This window comes from Homo sapiens, chromosome 3 (genome assembly GCF_000001405.40).
Source record: "Homo sapiens chromosome 3, GRCh38.p14 Primary Assembly".
NCBI lineage: Eukaryota > Metazoa > Chordata > Mammalia > Primates > Hominidae > Homo > Homo sapiens.
In genome coordinates, this window is record NC_000003.12 from 197,794,709 (window position 1) to 197,814,489 (window position 19,781).

Sequence of the window (19,781 nt, forward strand, 5' to 3'; positions counted from 1 at the left end):
TGAAAGGTTAATCTGGCTGGGCCTGGTGGCTCTCGCCTATAATCCCAGCACTTTGGGAGGCCAGGGCGGGCAGATCACCTGAGATCGGAAGTTCCAGACCAGCTTGGCTAACATGGTGAAACCCGGTCTCAACTAAAAATACAAAAATTAGCCAGGTGTAATGGCGGGTGCCTGTAATCCCAACTACTTGAGAGGGTGAGGCACGAGACTCGCTTGAACCCAGGAGGCGGAGGTTGCAGTGAGCTGAGATTGTGCCACTGCACTCCAGCCTGGGTGACAGAGTAAGTGCTGTCTTAAAAAAAAAAGAAAAAAAAATATTAATCTTTTGGAAAAGGGGAATATTTATTTGGGAATGGGTGACTTGATCCAGTGGACAAGGAAAGTCTTAGAAGACATCACAGAAGACTTCTTGAAGCAGAAAGGATATAACTTGGATTTGGGCAAGCAGAAACAAGAAGGAAAGCTATTTTAGGCAGTGGTGGACAGCACGCAAAAAATGTTAAGAGTATAAGGGACATCAGTTAATTTTGCCAGTCCATTATTCAGTCCCTTCTGGTAATAGTACTCCAATTTTCCTAGGGAACCACCCCTCTCAGTTATATGAACCCCACCCTGGCATAGGGTATGCCAGTGACTCAGGCCTAGCTAATGGTCAGTCAGTATATAGTCCATTGCTCTGGCCATAGTGATTGTTCAGAGGTGGGCCCATTTTGCAATCAGCACACATGAGTAACTGAATTTTTTGTTGAACTATTGAGAAAGAGGCATGCTTTGAGCCCTGGGGTTGCTGAGACAATAGGATGTTAGCCTGGAAGTTACCAATAAGTGGGAAGCAGAGCCAAAAGATGGAAGTTCTGATGGCAGTGTTTGTACCTTTGGGTCAGCCGCCATGCCTAAAGTCAGTGCTATCTCTGTACTTTCAAATTATGTGAGCTAATAAATTCTTCTTTCTGCTTAAGGTGAGTAAAAAAGTTGTTGTTTTTTTTTTTTTTTTTTTTTTTTGAGATGGAGTCTCGCTCTGTCACCCAGGCTGGAGTGCAGTGGCATGATCTCGGCTCACTGCAACTTCTTTCTCCTGGGTTCAAGTGATTTTCCTGCCTCAGCCTCCTGAGTAGCTGGGACTACAGGCGCCCACCACCACGCCTGGCTAATTTTTATATATTTAGTAGAGATGGGGTTTCACCATATTGGCCAGGCTGGTCTCAATCTCCTGACCTTGTGATCCGCCCGCCTTGGCTTCTCAAAGTGCTGGGATTACAGGTGTGACCCACCGCACCCGGCCAGAATTTTTTGATGATAAAAAGGTCCTGACTAATACAGTGAAACTACCCGTGATGATATTGTGGTGAGACAAATTTGGTCAAAATAAATTATTGGATTAGAGAATATAAGAGCTGCCTTTCGTATATGAGGAAGCTAGATAGCCAATAGCTTTAGAGGTCAGCATTCATTCAACAGACATTTATTGACTAAAGGACTTCGGCAGTTATTGGTGTATGAAGAGGACCAAGACACTCCCTGCCCTGACAGAACTCAAGGGATCTAATGGGGAGATAGACGGGTGGAAGGATTGTTTGAATTGTGCAATAATAGCACAACTACTATGTTTTAGGCATTATGCTGGGTAATGTAGAGGAAACAAAAATGAGGCCTTACGAATATTTTTAAATCTAGTAATCTGGTTGGGTAGCTGCATAACAGAAAGCTGTGAGGGAATGAAATCCTGGTACACTGAGATCATACTGGACAATGAAAATGTACAAATGCTGATTGAATTTATTTAAAAAAGGATAGGAGTCCAAGATCACTGTTAAACCTGTAAGACTAGAAAGATGGTAATGCTATTGCTTATAATAGTAGCTAACATTTATTGAGGTCTTAACATATTCCAGGTATTGTGCTAAGCTGTGTGTGTCTATATATAACATGAACAAAAACAACCATAGTAAGTTGTAAATACTATTTTTGACCCCATTTTACGTGTGAGAAAATTGAGGCTCAGGAGATTAAATAATTTGATCAAGGTCTCCCAGCTAATAAGTGACAAAACTAGGATTCAATTTCTGATACATTTGACCCTAAAATTTGTGTTATTGATCAATAATTATACCGACAAGTTGGTTTCCTGTAATTTCTTTGGTTTGCCCAATATCTTTGAAGGGTTGGTAGCACATCTAGTGAATCATGTGGGACAAATAGAAACAAATAGAAACTAGAGCTTTAGAATGTAGAGTGACACTTTAGGAGGCTGAGGTGGGTGGATCACGAGATCAGGAGTTCAAGACCAGCCTGGCCAACATGGTGAAACCCTGTCTCTACTAAAAATACAAAAAAATTTGCTGGGCATGGTAGCACACGCCTGTAATCGCAGCACTTTGGGGGGCCGAGGCGGGCAGATCACCCGATGTCAGGAGTTCAAGACCAGCCTGGCCAACATGGTGAAACCCCATCTCTATTAAAAATATAAAAAATTAGCTGGGCGTGGTGGTGCATGGCTGTAATCGCAGCTACTTGGGAGGCTGAGGCAGGAGAATTTCTTGAACCCTGGAAGTGGAGGTTGCAGTGAGCTGAGATCACGCCATTGCACTCCAGACTGGGCAACGAGCAAAACTCCATCTCAAAAAAAAAAAAAAAAAAAAGATGTAGAGTGAAGTTAATTAAGGCTATGGAATAAATTCAAGAGAGTCATAGTGAGAGTTTATAAGATTCTTGGAGGAAGGACGTAGAGAATGGAAAAGGTAGGCACTGTCAACTCAGGGAGATACCAGCATTTTAAAAGGTGGAAAGAGGAATCAGTCTGGGAAAAAACAGAAACAGAAAAAAGATTCAGTAACTAGGCCTGTACTAGAATTCATAGAATCCTAAAACTAGGCCGGGCGCAGTGGCTCACGCCTGTAATCCCAGCACTTTGGGAGGCCGAGGCAGGTGGATCACCTGAGGTGAGGAGTTTGAGACCAGTCTGCCCAACACGGTGAAACCCCGTCTCTACTAAAAATACAAAAAATAGCTGGGTGCCATTGGCAGGCGCCTATAATCCCAGCTACTCAGGAGACAGGCAGGGGAATCGCTTGTGCCGGGGAGGTGGAGGTTGCAGTGAGCTGAGATGGCGCCTCTGCACCCCAGCACTGGCAACAGAGCGAGACTCCATCTCAAAAAAAAAAAAAACAAAAAAAACAAAAAAAAAAACAAAACCAGAAAAATCCTAAAACCAGAAGGAACCATAGTGACCTTCTAAGTTATTTCACAAATGAGAAGCAATCTGAAGCTGGGTGCAGTGGCTCACGCCTGTAACCCTAGCACTTTAACACTTTAGGAGGCTGAGGCGAGTGGATCACTTGAGCCCAGGAGATGGAGACCAGCCTGGGCAACATCGCAAACCTCGTCTCTTAAAAAAATACAAAAATTAGACAGTTGTGGTGGAATGCATCTGTAGTCCCAGCTGCTTGGGAAGCTGAGGTGGGAGAATCGCTTGAGTCTGGGAGATTGAGGGTGCAGTGAGCGGAGGTCGCACCACTGCTCTCCAGTATGGGCAACAGAGTGAGACCCTGTCTCAAAAAAAATAAATAAATAAATAAATGAGAGAGAAGCAATCTCAGATTAAATGATATTCTTAACGTTGTATAGTGAGGTGATACTGTTTTACACAAGGCAAATAAGAGTCATAGCTGAAGCTTGAAGAAAACTCTTGAATGAAATACAGAAAATGAGAAAGCAAAGACTCACCATTGGTGTAAAGCCTACAGGTGAGAGCAGGATGCTGTGGGCAGGTGGACTACAATCACACACAGAAAAAGGAAACATTGACATGTGGCGGGTGAGCCAAAGTAATGCAGTGTCATTGGAGCTATGAGAATTAAAATTTTCAAGAAATGAATACTTTCTAGGTAAGAAGAATGAGGACTGCTAAAATGCCATTTAATTTTCCAAGGAGGCAGTCTGTAACTCACAAAATTATGGTTTCATTAGTCTTGGAAATACGGACTAGAGTACCAGGTCTTAATTTGAGATTGTGTTTTTCTTGGATCCTTGTTTATGTCTATTTTGTAACAGTCACAGTATATGCACTATGAATTTTTCTAGAACTGTACTGTGTAGTATGGTAGCAACTAGCCGTAAGTGGTTATTAAAATAGAAATTTAAAACTTGGTTCTTCATTTGCACTAGCCACATTTCAAGTGCTCAGTAGCCACATATGTCATTTTGGACAGCACCTTGGACCAACCTCCTCTCTGTCATACTGGACAGCACAGATAATAGAACTCTCTCATCACTGCAGGAAGTTAGGTTAGACAGTACGTTAGACTCCCCTGAGATTGGTCTTAGAAGGGAAGGGGAGGTAGTAGGATGGTTTCTTTAGGGGAGGTGAGAAGATGAACCATAGAGGACCACTGAACCAGTTTTGAGAGTACGGGAGTGACAGCAGTGCTGGGGCTGAGGAGTTCCCAGGTTCCAGTTCCTTTTACAGTGGCTATATTTGGGAGCTGGATGGTTAACGTTACTTCATGTTAGAACATCAAGTATGACTTTAAGTGGTGTGGTTATATACATGTTTCTTGTTCTTTCCAGTTCCTCTGTAAAATATCCCAGGTGCGCTTGGGAAAAATGTATGGTCAATGTGGTAATTCACACAAAGGAATATTATTTTGAATTCCTGAAGCAGCCAGCAATATCAAATGCAGTGTGACTAATTTTAGAATCAAACTAGTAGTAAAAATGTAAAGCATTTCCTTATTCACTTTTAACTTTCTTCTTTGCTCTTCACAATTTCTAAATTTTTATTGTTTGAAGGAAGTCTTAAACCTTGGATTTAAACTGGTTTAACTGATTTCTTATTTAAAAACTGGGTAATAGATTTTCCCATTAAAAACAGGTTTTTGGCTAGGCGCGGTGGCTCATGCCTGTAATCCCAGCACTTTGTGAGGTCAAGATGGGTGGATCACCTGAGATCAGGAGTTTGAGACCAACCTGACCAACATGGCGAAACCCCGTCTCTACTAAAAATACAAAAAATTAGCTGGCTGTGGTGGCACGCGCCTGTAATCCCAGCTTCAGCTACTCGGGAGGCTGAGGCAGGGGAATTGCTTATCCCGGGAGGCAGAAGTTGCAGTGAGCCGAGATCACGTCACTGCACTCCAGCCTGGGCAGCAGAGTGAGACTCGCTCTCAAAACAAAAACAAAAAACAAAAGAACAGGCCGGGTGCAGTGGCTCATGCCTGTAATCCCAGCACTTTGGGAGGCCGAGGCAGGTGGATCATGAGGTCAGGAGTTCAAGACGAGCCTGGCCATGATGGTGAAACCCTGTCTCTACTAAAACTACAAAAAAAAAAAAAATTAGCCAGGCGTGCTGGCAGGTGTTTGTAATCCCAGCTACTCGGGAGGCTGAGGCAGGAGAATTGCTTGAACCCCGGTGGTGGAGGTTGCAATGAGCCAAGATCACGCTGATCGCACCACTATACTCCACTCCAGCCTAGGCGACAGAGTGAGACTGTCTCAAAAAAAAAAACCCCACAGTTTTTTAAAAATGATTTTCATATCATAGAGAGTGGGAAGGTAAGCCACAGTCTTCTTAAGATTTCCAATAAATGCAACAGATTAGATCCAGAATATTTAAGAATGTCTATACACAAGTAAGAAAAAGACAACCCAGGAGAAAACTGAGAAAACACTTGAACTAGTACTTTACTAAAGAGGAATTCCAAGTGGCCAATAAATGTTTGAAAAGGTGCTGAACCTCATCAGTAATCAAGAGATTGAAAAATAAAACCACAGTGGGTACTACTTTACAAGTTGATGATTCCAAGTACTGGAAAGAACGTGGAGCAGTGGAGACACTCATACGATGCTGTGGGAGCTTGTGGGAGTGTGAATTGGTGCCTCAACTTTGAAAATGCTCTGGAACGATCCAGGAAGGTTTAAAATACACATATTCTGTGACTCAGAAATTCCACTCTTGAGATAAATCTCTCAGAGAAAGTTGTGTGTATGTATACCAGGATATATAGTATGATAAGACTGTCCATAGCATTATTCATATTTGACAAAATAGAAACAACTTAAGTGATGATCACCAGTAGAATGGATAAATCAATTGTGTGAAAATGAGCTGGCCAAGTGCGGTGGCTCACACCTATAATCCCAGCACTTTGGGAGTTTAAGGTGGGTGGATCACAAGGTCAGGAGTTCGAGACCAGCCTGACCAACATGGTGAAACCCCGTCTCTACTAAAAATACAAAAAATTAGCCGGGTGTGGTGGCGGGCGCCTGTAATTTTAGCTACTCAGGAGGCTGAGGCAGGAGAATCGCTTGAACTTGGGAGGCAGAGGTTGCAGTGAGCTGAGATCACACCACAGCACTCCAGCCTGGGCAACAGAGTGAGACTCCATCTCAAAAAAAAAAACAAGAAAATGGATGAGCTATAACTATATGCAGTTGCAGGAATGAACCTTAGAAACATAATGTCGAGAAAGTGAAGTGTGAAGCATAATATATACGGTGCAAATATATTTAGTAAAGTTCAAAAACAAAAAATATAAGTGCTAAAAGTACAAAGAAAAGGAAATAATTGCCATAAAAATCAGGATAATGGTTACCTCTAGGGGAGAAGGAAAAAGCTGTGATTAGGAAAGGGAGCTTTGGGTTGGGAGTCAGGGATATATTTCTGAAGTATTGGAAATACTCTGTTTCATGACCTTGGTGGTGATTATATGGTTGTTCATGTTATACTTTTAAAAAATTGAATTGTATGTTTATGATTTATTCACTTTTCTTCATTTATGTTCGACTTTTGTTGAGGCTAACTTCTTCATTGTTAACTCATGTATTTCTCATGGCACCTCTTCTTTTTGGCCATCTCTTTTTAAATTCTCTTCCTTTCTCTCTACCATCCCTCCTCCCCAGTTAGGCACTTATTGTTTTCTTAATACCCTGTGCACATTTTTTTATTGTCACAGTAAACAATATCATCTTTTCTTCTACTAGATTGGCAGCTTCTTGAAGGAGGTATATTAGTTTTCTGTTGCTAAATAGCAAATTATTACAAATTTAGCAGCTTAAAATAGCATCCATTTACTATAGTTCTATAGGTTAGGAGTCTGGACTCAGCTGAACTCAAGGTTTCACAAGACTGAAATTAACGTGTTGTCAGGATGGGCTTTTATCTGGAGGCTTTGGGGAACAGTTTGCTTACAAGTTCATTCGAGTTTTGGCAGAATTCAGTCTTTGTGGTTATAAAACTGAGGTTCTTATTTCCTTTCTGGTTGTCAGCCTCAGGCCACTCTCAGGTCCTGGATGCCACTTGTATTCTTACAACATGGCCCCCTCCATCCTCAAGCCAGCATTGGTGTGTCATCAAACACTTCTCGTGCTTCCAGTTTCTCAGACTTCCTCTGCTGCTGCTATCCAGAGGGTTGATGTGATGAGACTGGGTTTACCAAGATTGTGCCTCTTTTGATTAATTCTAAAGTCAACTGATTAGTAGACTTCATTACATCAGCAAAATCCCCTCTTCCACATAAGGAAGATACTCAGGGTATGAGATCCTGTATTCACAGTTCCAGGAATTAGAGTGGTGTCTTTGTCCATTTTGTGCTGCTATAACAGCATACCACACACAGACTGATTAATTTATGAGTAGAAATTTGTTGGCTCACAATTTTGGAGGTTGGAAAGACCAAGATCTAGGTGCTGCCATCTAGTGAGGGCCTTCTTGCTGTGTTATATTTTGTTGAAGATTTTTCCATGTATGTTCATCAGTGATAGTGGCTTGTAATTTTATTTTTTGTGTCCAGCTTTGGTATCAGGGTAATGCTGGCCTCGTAAAATGCGTTTGGAAGTATTCCCTTCTCTTTAGTTTTTTTAAGAGTTCGAGAAGGATTGTTATTAGTTCTTCATATGTTTGGTAGAATTCAGCAGTGAAACCATGGCTTTTCTTTGGTGAGAGACTTACTGATTCAATCCTTACTCATTAATCTGTTCAGATTTTCTGTTTCTTCATGATTCAATCTCGGGAGGTTCTATGTTCCTAGGAATTTATGCGTTTCTTCTGAGTTATCCAGTTTGTTGGCGTATAACTTTTGAGTATTTGTTGAATGAATGGATGGGTGAATGATAAAGCGAAAAGAAGTGATTGAGAGCCTGTTCACTTTCATAGCTTTGGAACAGTGACACCTGCCTGCTGTATAAAGTAACTGGTTTCAGTGGGGACCCTGGGAGTTTCAATCAGAACATTCTCAAGGATAATACTAGTGAGTATGCTTCTCTTTGGTGTGAAAAAGTCAAGCATTCAGAACTTTTAAAATTGGTGTCATAGAGGATAAGAGAAATGATGTTACATGTGCTAAGAGTTGTTTTCTCAAAATAAATGTCAACTTCTAGGTATTTGGGAACTTTCACAGTGGATTCATTGATTATAATAAAAGGAATAAAAATGTTAAACCTTATATGTAGTGAAGGAGGCTTTCTCTGTTTATCCAGTGTTTTCAACTTTGGTAGTTATATGTCTCACTTGTGTAAGGAAAATCTTAGTCAGATAATGTGGTCATGCTTCTTTTAGCCTATAAAATTTGTGGCTTCTGGCCATCTATTATCAAGTGACAAGCTGTAGCATATTGATTCTCAGGCTTTAGTGTTGTGCATAGAATCACCTGGGGCTCTTTTTAAAAAATACGCATCCCTGGGTGAGATTACTAGAGAGATTCAGGAGATCCGGGGTGGAGTCCATTAAACTACATTTTTAACAAGCACCCTGATGGTACTAGGTGCAGGTAGTTAAGAACCACCTGAAAAACATTTCCTTAGAATTTGCTACTTTAGCCAGGTGTGGTGATTTGCGCCTGTAATCCCAGCTACTTGGGAGGCTGAGGCATGAGAATCACTTGAACCTGGGAGGTGGAGGTTGCAGTGAGCTGAGATTGCACCACTGCACTCTAGCTTAGGCCACAGAGTGAGACTGTTTAAAAAAAAAAAAAGAATTTGCTCCTTTACTCTAAAAGTTATTTTGGAGGATAGTGGTTTTTCACATCTGGTTCTATGGCATGCCATAGAAGGTTCGCAGGACCTTGTGAGAAATGCAGAATTGCAGGCCTCATCTCGGAATAAGAATCTGCATTTGCATTTCAGTTTAAGAAGCACTGCTGTAACGTTAACCAGGTAATTCTTTTTCCAAAGGGTCTCAGTAAGTAAATAATTGGCCTTAGTTAATTTAACCCATATGATATGGGGCGACCAAATTGAATACTTTCAACATCAGTCTATTAAAAAATGAAAAGGGACCGGGTGTGGTGGCTCACGCCTGTAATCCCAGCACTTTGGGAGGCTGAGGCAGGTGGATCACTTGAGGTCAGGAGTTCGAGACCAGCCTGACCAACATGGTGAAACCCCATCTCTACCAAAAAATACAAAAATTAGCCAGGCGTGGTGGCGTGCACCTCTAGTTAGTTCTAGGTACTAGGGAGGCTGAGGTGGGAGAATTGCTCAAACCCCAGAGGTGGAGGTTGCAATGAGCCAAGATTGTGCCACTGCAGTGGGCGACAGCGTAAGACCCTGTCTCAAAAAAAGAAAAAAAAAAAGACCCACTTTGTGGGTGGCAATAAGCAAAGAAGAAAGTTATGACACCAGTTGCCTTGTTCCTAGGATATGATGTGCTGAACATATCATGGATATGTACATGGTTAGAGTTTGATGTTAGCAAGTCCTTTTAGACTGTGCCTTGCCTCAGCTGCACCCCTCCTTAAGTTATACTGGAAAATAAAAAAACCTTCGTATGTCATCCCAGTAGGTATGGTAAGGATCCAGAGTGCAGAAATCCCATCGTGTATCCAGAGCTCAATTATCTTGTCCTCACTCCTATCCTGAGGACTGGGGCTTTCCACCCAAAATTGTTATACCAGAAACAGGGCTCTACTACTCATTGGTGTATTTGTTTCTAGTACCTACTTTTAAAAGACTGTTACTTGCTCAGCTGCTTATCTTGCTTGTGAAGACAATGTTTAGTAACACGAGGAGAACTACAGACATTATCGTGGTCCAATCAACAGTGACCATCACAGGTTTGTTAATTTTGCTGTTTTATCATAATACTTGCAGTTAGTAAACACTTCCTTATTTTCTAATGTAAGAATGACAAATAGAACTTAAAGACATTTCCAATAGAATCTATCTGTACCTCGATTATCCACTCCTTTTTTTTTTTCTTTTTTATTTTTTTGAGACAGAGTCTCACTCTGTCGCCTAGGCTGGAGTGCAGTGGTGTGATCTTGGCTCACTGCAACCTCCACCTCCTGGATTCAAGCAATTCTCCTGCCTCAGCCTCCTGAGTAGCTGAGATTACAGGTGCGTGCCACCACACCTGGCTAATTTTGTATTTTTGGTAGAGCTGGGGTTTCACCGTGTTGGTCAGGCTGGTCTCGAACTCCCGACCTCAGTGATCTACCCGCCTTGGCCTCCCAAAGTGCTGGGATTACAGGCGTGAGCCACCGCGCCTGGCCAAGAAAGCCATTTTTTCAAGTCATTCAGAATATGTGATTGCTTTTCCTGAGGGGCAAACTGATAAAACATGACATGTTGGACTATCCTTGATAACTTTTCCAGTAAGACACTTTTTTCTTAAGGGTCTTACCTCTATCATATTTTTGAAGGAGAAGAACGTGCAACAGAAAAATCAAGGAGGCTTTTTCTTCAGAGGGCTGGGACTAAAACTGGGTCTGGATTTGGGTGTAGGCTTGCTAAAGAGGGGGACACGCCTCCAAACTGAAAACCTAATGACAGCCGACATGCAGAATGGTAAGATCTCTAGGCATCTCCCTGCTTGGCTGATATACTCCTCTGATTATTGGAGTTTTTAGAGGGGGACACGCCTCCAAACTGAAAACCTAATGACAGCCGACATGCAGAATGGTAAGATCTCTAGGCATCTCCCTGCTTGGCTGATATACTCCTCTGATTATTGGAGTTTTTAGAGGGGGACATGCCTCCAAATTGAAAACCTAATGACAGCCGACATGCAGAATGGTAAGATCTCTAGGCATCTCCCTGCTTGGCTGATATACTCCTCTGATTATTGGAGTTTTTGGAGAAAATCTAGGGGAAAAGAGAAAAGATTTTAAGGTATCGGTACTTACAGAACCCAAATGAAACAGCCAGGTCCCTACACTGTACCTTACAGGGAAGTGTACATACAGAGTTTCCACCCAGAATTTCAATGTTATGGGTTTTTTTTGTTTTTGTTTCTGTTTTTTTGAGACGGAATTTCACTCTTGTTGCCCAGGCTGGAGTGTAATGGTGCGATCTTGGCTCACTGCGACGTCTGCCTCCCGGGTTCAAGTGATTCTCCTGTCTCAGCCTCCCGAGTAGCTGGGATTACAGGCATGTGCCACCACACCCGGCTAATTTTGTATTTTTAGTAGAGACGGGGTTTCTCCATATTGGTCAGGCTGGTCATGAACTCCCGACCTCTGGTGATCCACCTGCCTCGGCCTCCCAAAGTGCTGGGATTACAGGTGTGAGTCACTGCGCCTGGCCTATGTTTTTAAATATGAAAAGAAAACTAAATACTACTAGATAGTTGAAGAACATTTCTCTTTTTTCTTTTTTCTAATTTTAGTAGAGACAGGGATCTTACTGTGTTGCCCAGGCTGGTCTCAAACTCCTGAGCTCAAATGATCCTCTCACCTCAGCCTCTCAAAGTGCTAGGATTACAGGCATGAGTGCCTGGCCTTGAAGAACATTTCTGACATCAAAGAGAAGAACATAACAAAAGGAACCCAGAGAAAACAGACAGTGCTGACAAAAGAAAAACTTCCAAAAATCTGGAATCAATATCCTAAAAGTCAGAAAAGAAGGTACTGCAGACATGAAATATAATAAGGGTCTCTAAGAAAAGGGCATAGGAATGCCGGACATGGTGGCTCACTCCTGTAATCCCAGCACTTTGGGAGACTGAGGCAGGTGGATCACCTGAGGTCAGGAGTTCAAGACCACCCTGGCTAACATGGTGAAACCCTGTCTCTACTAAAAATACAAAATTAGTTTGGTGTGGAGTTTCACCATGTTGTCCAGGCTGCCCTTGAACTCCTGACCTCAAGTGATCCACCCGCCTCAGCCTCCCAAAGTGCTGGGATTACAGGTGTGAGCCACTGCATCCGGCTCCTGAGACCCCATTTTTACAAAAGATTTAAAAGAAAAATTAGCCTGACATGGTTCCGCATTCCTGTGGTCCCAGCTACTCAGGAGGCTCAGGTCAGAGAATCACTTGAGCCCAGGAGTTCCAGGTTTCAGTGAGCTGTGATTGCACCACTGCACCCTAGCCTGGGCGACAGGGCGAGACCCTGTGTCAAAAAAAAAAAACAAACAAACATGCATACACACATACAAGAGTTAAAAGTGATTGCTTTAGGGGAGCAGGTATTGGGAGTTAATGAGGAATTAGACCTCTCCTGTTTGGGTGCTAATTTTTACTTTCAGCCTATATCCTTCTACTTGAAGTGAGTTTCTTGTAAATAACATAGAGTTGCATTTTTTTTTTTTTTTTGAGACGGAGTCTCGTTCTGTCGCCCAGGCTGGAGTGCAGTGGCGCGATCTCGGGTCACTGCCAGCTCCGCCTCTCGGGTTCACACCATTCTCCTGCCTCAGCCTCCCAAGTAGCTGGGAGTACAGGCGCCCGCCACCACGCCCAGCTCATTTTTTTGTATTTCTTTTTAGTAGAGACGGGGTTTCACCGGGTTAGCCAGGATAGTCTCGATCTCCTGACCCTGTGATCCGCCCGCCTTGGCCTCCCAAAGTGCTGAGATTACAGGTGTGAGCCACCATGCCCGGCCGCATCATGTTTTTAAATCCACTTTGCTAATCTCTGTATTTTGGTCATTTGATCTGTCTTTTAGATAATTTGTATTTCATATCATTGTTGATGTGTTAGGGCCTAAGTCTGCCATTTTATTTGTTGTTTCCTTTGTTTTCCTTTCTGTGTTCTTTTTCTTGCCTTCCTGTGGGGTTCGTGAACATTTTTTAGAATTCCATTTTTATTTCTCTGTAGTGTTTTTGAGTGTATCTCTTTGTGTAGCTCTCTTTGTTGCTGCCCTAGGTATTACATGAGAGAAGTCCAACTTGTCAGTCTATTGGTATCCTTATTTTATGAGTTTGAGTGACGTATAGAAACCTTACCCCCTTCATGTCCCTTTTCTTTCCCTGTTATAGTTGTCTTAAATATTTTCTCTATAAATATTTAGAATCACATCAAACAGTCTTATAATTTTTGCTTCCAATATAATTTGGAAAACTCAAGAGAAGGAAAGTCTTTTATATTTACCCATATTTTTGCTTAGTGTTATGTACTGAATTTTGTCCGTCACCCACAAATTCATACATTGAAGTCCTAACTCTCAGTATCTGCGATTGTGTTTGGAGGTAGTACTTTTAAAGAGGTAATTAAGTTCAGATGGCATCATTTGGCTGGGCTGTAAGTCAATACAAGTGATGTCCCTGTGAGAGGAGATTAGGACAAAGACAAAGAGGAAAGATGATATGAAGACTCAGAGAGAAGACAGCATCTGCAAGCCAGTGAGAGAGACCTCAGAAGAAAGCAACCCTGCTAACACCTTCATCTCAGACTTCTAGCCTCCAGAATTTGAGAAAATACATTTGTATCGTTTCAGCTGCCCACTGTGTGGTATTTTATTGTGGCAGCTCTAGCAAACTCATACGCTGTGTCCTTTCTTGGTGTTTTAAGATTCCTTTCTTTCACCACTTACTTTCTATTTAGAGAACTTCCATTACTCATTCTTTTAGATTACATCTGCTGCTACAGACTCTCTCAGTTTTCATTCATCTGAGAATGTGTTGATCTCCTCTTGATTCCTGAAGGACATTTTGCTGGATATATATACAATTCTGGGTGAACAGTCTTTCTTTTAGTGATTGGAAGATGTTGGGCCAGGCGCAGTGGCTCATGCCTGTAATTGAAACACTTTGGGAGGCCGAGATGAGCAGATCACTTGAGCCCAGGAGTTTCAAGACCAGCCTGGGCAATGTGGCGAAACCCCATCTCTCCAAAAATTAGCTGGGCATGGTGGCACATGCCTGTAGTCTCAGCTACCTGGAAGGCTGAGGTGGGAGGATCACTTGAGCCCAGGAGATCAGAGCTGCAGTGAGCTGTGATTGTGCCACTGCACTCCAACCTGGGTGACAGTGAGACTGTCTCAGAAAAAAAAAGGATGATGTTCTGCCACTTCTTTCTGGCTTCCATGGTTTCTGATATGAAATCTACTGTCATTTCAATTGTCTCTCTCTTACTGCTTTCAATATTTTTTTTTTCTTGGCCAGGCATGGTGGCTCATGCCTGTTATCCCAGCAGTTTGGGAGGCCATGGCAGGAGGATCACTTGAGGTCAGGAGTTCAGGACCAGCCTGGACAACATAGTGAGACGTCTTCTCTACCAAAAATACAAAAATTAGTCAGGAGTGGTGGTGTGTGCCTGTAGTCCCAGCTCCTCAGGAGACTGGGGTGGGAGGATCTCTCGAGCCCAAGAGGTAGAGGTTGCAGTGAGCCATGATTGTGCCACTGCACTCCAGCTGGGGTAACAGAGTGAGACCCTGTCTAAAAAAAAAAAAAGGACTTTTTTTCTCTGTCTTCCGTTTTCAGAAGTTTGGCTATAGTGTGTCTTGTGGATGTCTTTGGGTTTATCCTCTTTGGGGTTTGCTCAGCTTCTTGAATCTACAGGTTCATGACTCTTGCCAAACTTAGGAAGCTTTCACTTCAGTTCATTTTTCAGCCCTTAGAAATGCTGAAGTATTCAGCCCTGAGCTCCTTCTCTTTTGCCAGGATTCTGATGACATGAGTGTTAGATTATTGTTACAGTCCCATAAGTCCTTGCTCTGTTCAGTCTTTTTTTTTTTTTCCCCCAATCTGTTTTCTCTCTGTTGTTCAGGCTGGGTAATTTCTGTTCTGTCTTGCAGCTCACTGATTCTTTCCTCTCTGCCCTCCGCTCTGCTGTTGAACCCATCCATTGAGCTTTTTCTGTGTGTTTGTTTGTTTCCCCTTCATATCTTCTTTCTTGAGACCTTCTGTTTTTTGTTGTTGTTGTTGTTGAGGCTTTCTGGTTTTCATTTGTTACAAGAGAGTCTGTAATTGCTCTCTGAAGCATTCTTAGGATGGTCTAGCATCTCTGTCATCTTAGTGTTGGCATTTATTGTTTTTTATTTGGTTTGAGATCTTCCTGGTCCTTAGTATTGTAAATGTTTTCAGTTGTGCATTTTGGGGATTATAAGAGTCATTACAGTCTGGCAAGGATGGAAATTTAGGATCCCCACGTAACCTTTGAGTAGGGGTGAGGCTACTCAAAGGTTGCATGGGAAGCCTGTTTTTTTCCAGTTTTTTTCTGAGATATTTGGGTGGAATAGAGCAGTTATTATCTAAAAGTTTTCTGTCTTGCTAAGCTACCCTTTCCTGGTGCTTTATTATTATTTTGTTATTTTTATTTTTTGAGATGGAGTTTCACTCCCAGGTTGGAGTTCAGTGGCACGATCTTGGCTCACTGCAGCCTCCGCCTCCTGGGTTCAAAGGATTCTCCTGCCTCAGCCTCCTGAGTAGCTGAGATTACAGGTGCTCACGACCATGCCCAGCTTATTTTTGTATTTTAGAAATGGGGTTTCACCATGTTGGCCAGGCTGGTCTCGAACTGCTGACCTTAGGTGATTCACCAGCCTCTGCCTCTGGAAGTGCTGGGATTACAGGCATGAGCTACCGTGCCTGGCTATTTTATTTTTAAACTTGGAGAGGTCAGCTCCAAGTCTGGGATGCATGAGGCAAAAAGAAAACCCAGGGAATTCATTGCTATTGTTCCTTGAGTCCTGAGGTTCCTAGCCATCTTCTCTCAACCTTTTATCTGTTTTATGTATATTATCTCGGGTTTTTAGTTATAAATTAAAATTTTACATAATTTTAGAGATTTTTAAGGTACATGTCACTAACAAGAGGCAGATTACATTTCTACTTTGAGTATACACATTTAATTTTTTAAATTATTGTGGAGAAAAAAAACAGAAAAAGGAAAAAGTACATTTGTTTCATCTTCCCAGAAGCGGAAGTCACTAAAATGGCATTTAAAGTTATATAAATATACTATTTTGATAAAAATAAAAGTTAACAGTTTTTAAAAGATAACCTAAAGTCAGGTTAAAAAAAATAAGACTTTTGAATGAAAAGCATTAGAAAAACTATGTTTTGTGATCTCCCTGGGTTACATAATTAATATTAATAGCTAAAATGATTTTTATTGCATTATCTCAGTAAAATTTTCATGGGAATGGTAAGGTGGTTGAAAACGAAAAGGAAATACCTAAGCAAGGAGTGTTTTTAAATGTGACAGATGTAAACAGAAAGTCTGAAAAGCGTAACCCACTCTCATGACTCATCACGGGGTCTTCAGTGACTGCGCTGCCGTCTATGTTCTTGGTGTTTAAACTTTGGTCTGTGGGACGCACCATGAACAGTATCATTGTGATATGTTACATAGCTATCAAATAATATTTTAAATTATTACTTTTATATAATTCTTTAGGGACTTTTTGAAAATTACTTTTTAGTTTATTTCATACTGATTGTGTATTTCAGAAATTTTCATAGTTTGCATTTACCATTTCTTTATATGTTAAAGAATATTATTCCTATAATATTCTTTACAGTTTTACATTGCTCAGTGTTGAAAATCTCTTATACAGATTATTTGTCATCATCCCTGGCCATTTTCGCATTCATAGTAGTGTCTGTTCTCACAGAAAATGATGGTACTGTACATGTGGGTTTTGCATAATGGGCTGATTGGGTAAGGATGATGTCACTGCGTGGGACCGCCTGGAGGAGTTATTAGAAGAACACAAGACTTTTGACTGCTAGCATTTCTTAATAAATGCCATACTGTTGAAAACATTAATTTGTGTTTGGACTGGAATGAACCTTGGTTTTCCTGGCTTAGTTACTGAGATTTAAAGAAATAAGTCCTAATGTCATAATTACATAGCCAAATAGAATGAAATATGAAGCATTTTTCTCCCTGGCAGAGAGAAATGGGGTTAAGAAGGAAAGAAGTTACTAACTGCCAGTCTCTGTTACACAGTTGTGAGACTAATTTTTGAGATTTGAAGTTCAGGAATACTTTGAAATTTTGTTTCTGTAATTTGTGTATTATTCATTTTATTGCTGAGACATAAGATATGGTTATTAGAAAAGTCCATAATTTTAGAGATTTTTAAGGTACATGTCACTAAGAAGAGGCAGATTACATTTCTTTTCTACTTTGAGTACTACATGTTTGATTTTTTAAATTGTTGTGGTAAAATATGCCATTTTATCCATTTTTAAGCATCTGTTCAGTGGTATTAAGTACCTTCATACTGTTGTGCAGCTATCACCAACTAAATCCACTTCCAGAACTTTTTTCATTATCCCAGACTGCAACACTGTATGCGTTAAACACTAACTCCTCATTACTTCCTGGTAATCATTCTGCTTTATGTCTTTTATGAATTTGGCTGTTCTAGGGACTTCATATAAATGAAATCATATTTATCCTTTGATGTCTGGCATATTTCACTCCATAATGTTTGCAAACTTCATGTTGTACCATGTCAAAGAATTTTATTCCTTTTTGAATGTAGAATAATATTCCATTGTATGCATATAACACATTTATGGAAATATCTGTTCACCCATTGGTAGACATTTGGTTTGTTTCCATCTTTTGACTGTTGTGAATAATGCTGATGTAAATATTGGCCTACAAATATCTGTTCAAGTCTCTGCTTTCAGTTTTTTTTTTTTTTTTTTTTTTTTTTAGGTGGAGTCTCACTCTGTCGCCCAAGCTGGAGTGTAGTGGCGCCATCTCGGCTCACTGCAACCAAGCTGGATCATATGGTGGCTCTGTTTTTAGTTTTTTGAGAAACATTCAAACAGCCTCCTGGGTTCAAGTGATTCTCCTGTCTCAGCCTCCCAAGTAGCTGAGATTACAGGCACATGCCACCACGCCTGGCTAATTTTTGTATTTTTTGTGGAGACGGGGTTTCGCCATGTTGGCCAGGCTGGTCTCGAACTCCTGACCTCAAGTGATCCACCCACCTCGGCCTGTCAAAGTGCTGGGATTACAGGCGCAGGCCACCACACCCAACCAGTTCTTTTCATTCTATTCCCAGAAGTGGAATTGTTGGATTGTATGGATCATAAATATACTTCCGTGTTTGATTTTTTGAGGAACTGCCATATTCTTTTCCACAGTGGCTGTTTCCACCCAGCAAAGCGCAAAGGTTCCAATTTCTCCACATTCTTAACAACACCTGTTGTTTTTTCCTTTTTTAATAATAGTTATCTGAATGGGTATGAAGTGGTATCTTATAGTTTTTTAAATTTCTTTGAGTACGTAGTGGCTGCATATATTTATGGGGTCTGTGAGGTACTCTGATAGAGCCATACAATGTGTAATAATCACATCAGGGTAAATGAAGTATCCATTACCCCAAGCATTGATGCTTTGTGTTACAAACAATCCATTTATACTCTTTTAATTATTTCAAAATGTACAATAAATGATCGTTGACTGTAGTCATTCCCAAAAAGAGAAAACAGTGGTAAGCAAATGAATCTCACAGTAATTAATTAAATCAAAATGGGTAATGATAGAGGGGTGGTTTGTCATCATATTCCTTTGTCCTCTGCATTTTCTGAAAGTTTGCAAGTGATCCAGATGCTTAATCAGACTCAGGTTCTGTTCCTTTGGCAAGACCATAGGTAATGTTCCGTTCTTCTAATGGGAGGCATATAATTTTTTTTTTTTTTTTTTTTTTTTTTTTTTTTTTTTTTGAGATGGAATCTCGCTCTCTTGCCCAGGCTGGAGTACAGTGGCTCCATCTCTGCTCACTGCAACCTCTGCCTCCCAGGTTCAAGCGATTCTCCTGCCTCAGCCTCCCGAGTAGCTGGGATTACAGGTGTGTGCCACCATGCCCGGCTAACTTTTGTATTTTTAGTAGAGATGGGGTTTCACCATGTTGGGCAGGCTGGTCTCAAACTCCTGACCTCAAGTGATCCACCCGCCTCAGCCTCCCAAAGTGCTGGGATTACAGGCGTGAGCCACCGCGCCTGGCCTGAGGCATGTAATTTCTGATTATCTTTTGTAAAGATAACAGTCATTGATGTTCAATTCTAGATCCATTAATTCATAGGGGTTTTAAAATTGTGATATTCTATCGTTCTTTTTTATTCATAACTAGAATACTTTTATACAGAGATGCTCCCATCCATCTATTGTTTACTCAGTGATACCTTTATATAGGGAAGGCAGGATAAATGTTTGATTTTTTTCTCTTTATTTCCTCAAATGTTTGATTTTTCCTTCAGTTGCATTAGTTCGTTTTCATGCTGCTGATAAAGACAGACGTGAAACTGGGAACAAAAGGAGGTTTAATGGAACTTAAAAGTTCCACATGGCTGGGAAGCCTCAGAATCATGGCGGGAGGCAAAAGGCACTTACTTACACGGCAGCGGCAGGAGAAAATGAGGCAGGAACAAAAGTGGAAACCCCTGATAAACCCGTAAGATCTCGTGAGACTTAGTCACTATCACGAGAATAACACGGAAAAACCGGCCTCCATGATTGAATTACCTCTCCACTGGGTCCCTCCCACAGCGTGGGGGAATTCTGGGGAATACAATTCACGTTGAGACTTGAATGGGGACACAGGCAAACCGTATCACCAGTTTACAAGATAGTGTATTAGTTCTCTGTCATCTTTTTTGGGTGTGTG

The 19,781-nt window shown here is 41.3% G+C and overlaps 1 protein-coding gene across 18 annotated transcripts in view, besides 2 other annotated features; it reads left to right on the forward strand.

The window, feature by feature from the left end:
- LRCH3 (leucine rich repeats and calponin homology domain containing 3) overlaps nucleotides 1–19,781 on the forward strand; it is a 97,211-nt gene that overhangs the window by 3,483 nt on the left and 73,947 nt on the right. The gene's annotated exons all lie outside the window — the stretch shown is intronic.
- Nucleotides 4,336–4,385: an enhancer, noted in NCBI's record as "active region_21119". NCBI's record gives its function as "activates an Ori minimal core promoter by ATAC-STARR-seq in GM12878 lymphoblastoid cells {active_cell/tissue: GM12878}" and the evidence as "EXISTENCE:reporter gene assay evidence [ECO:0000049][PMID:35858748]".
- Nucleotides 7,472–7,551: an enhancer, noted in NCBI's record as "active region_21120". NCBI's record gives its function as "activates an Ori minimal core promoter by ATAC-STARR-seq in GM12878 lymphoblastoid cells {active_cell/tissue: GM12878}" and the evidence as "EXISTENCE:reporter gene assay evidence [ECO:0000049][PMID:35858748]".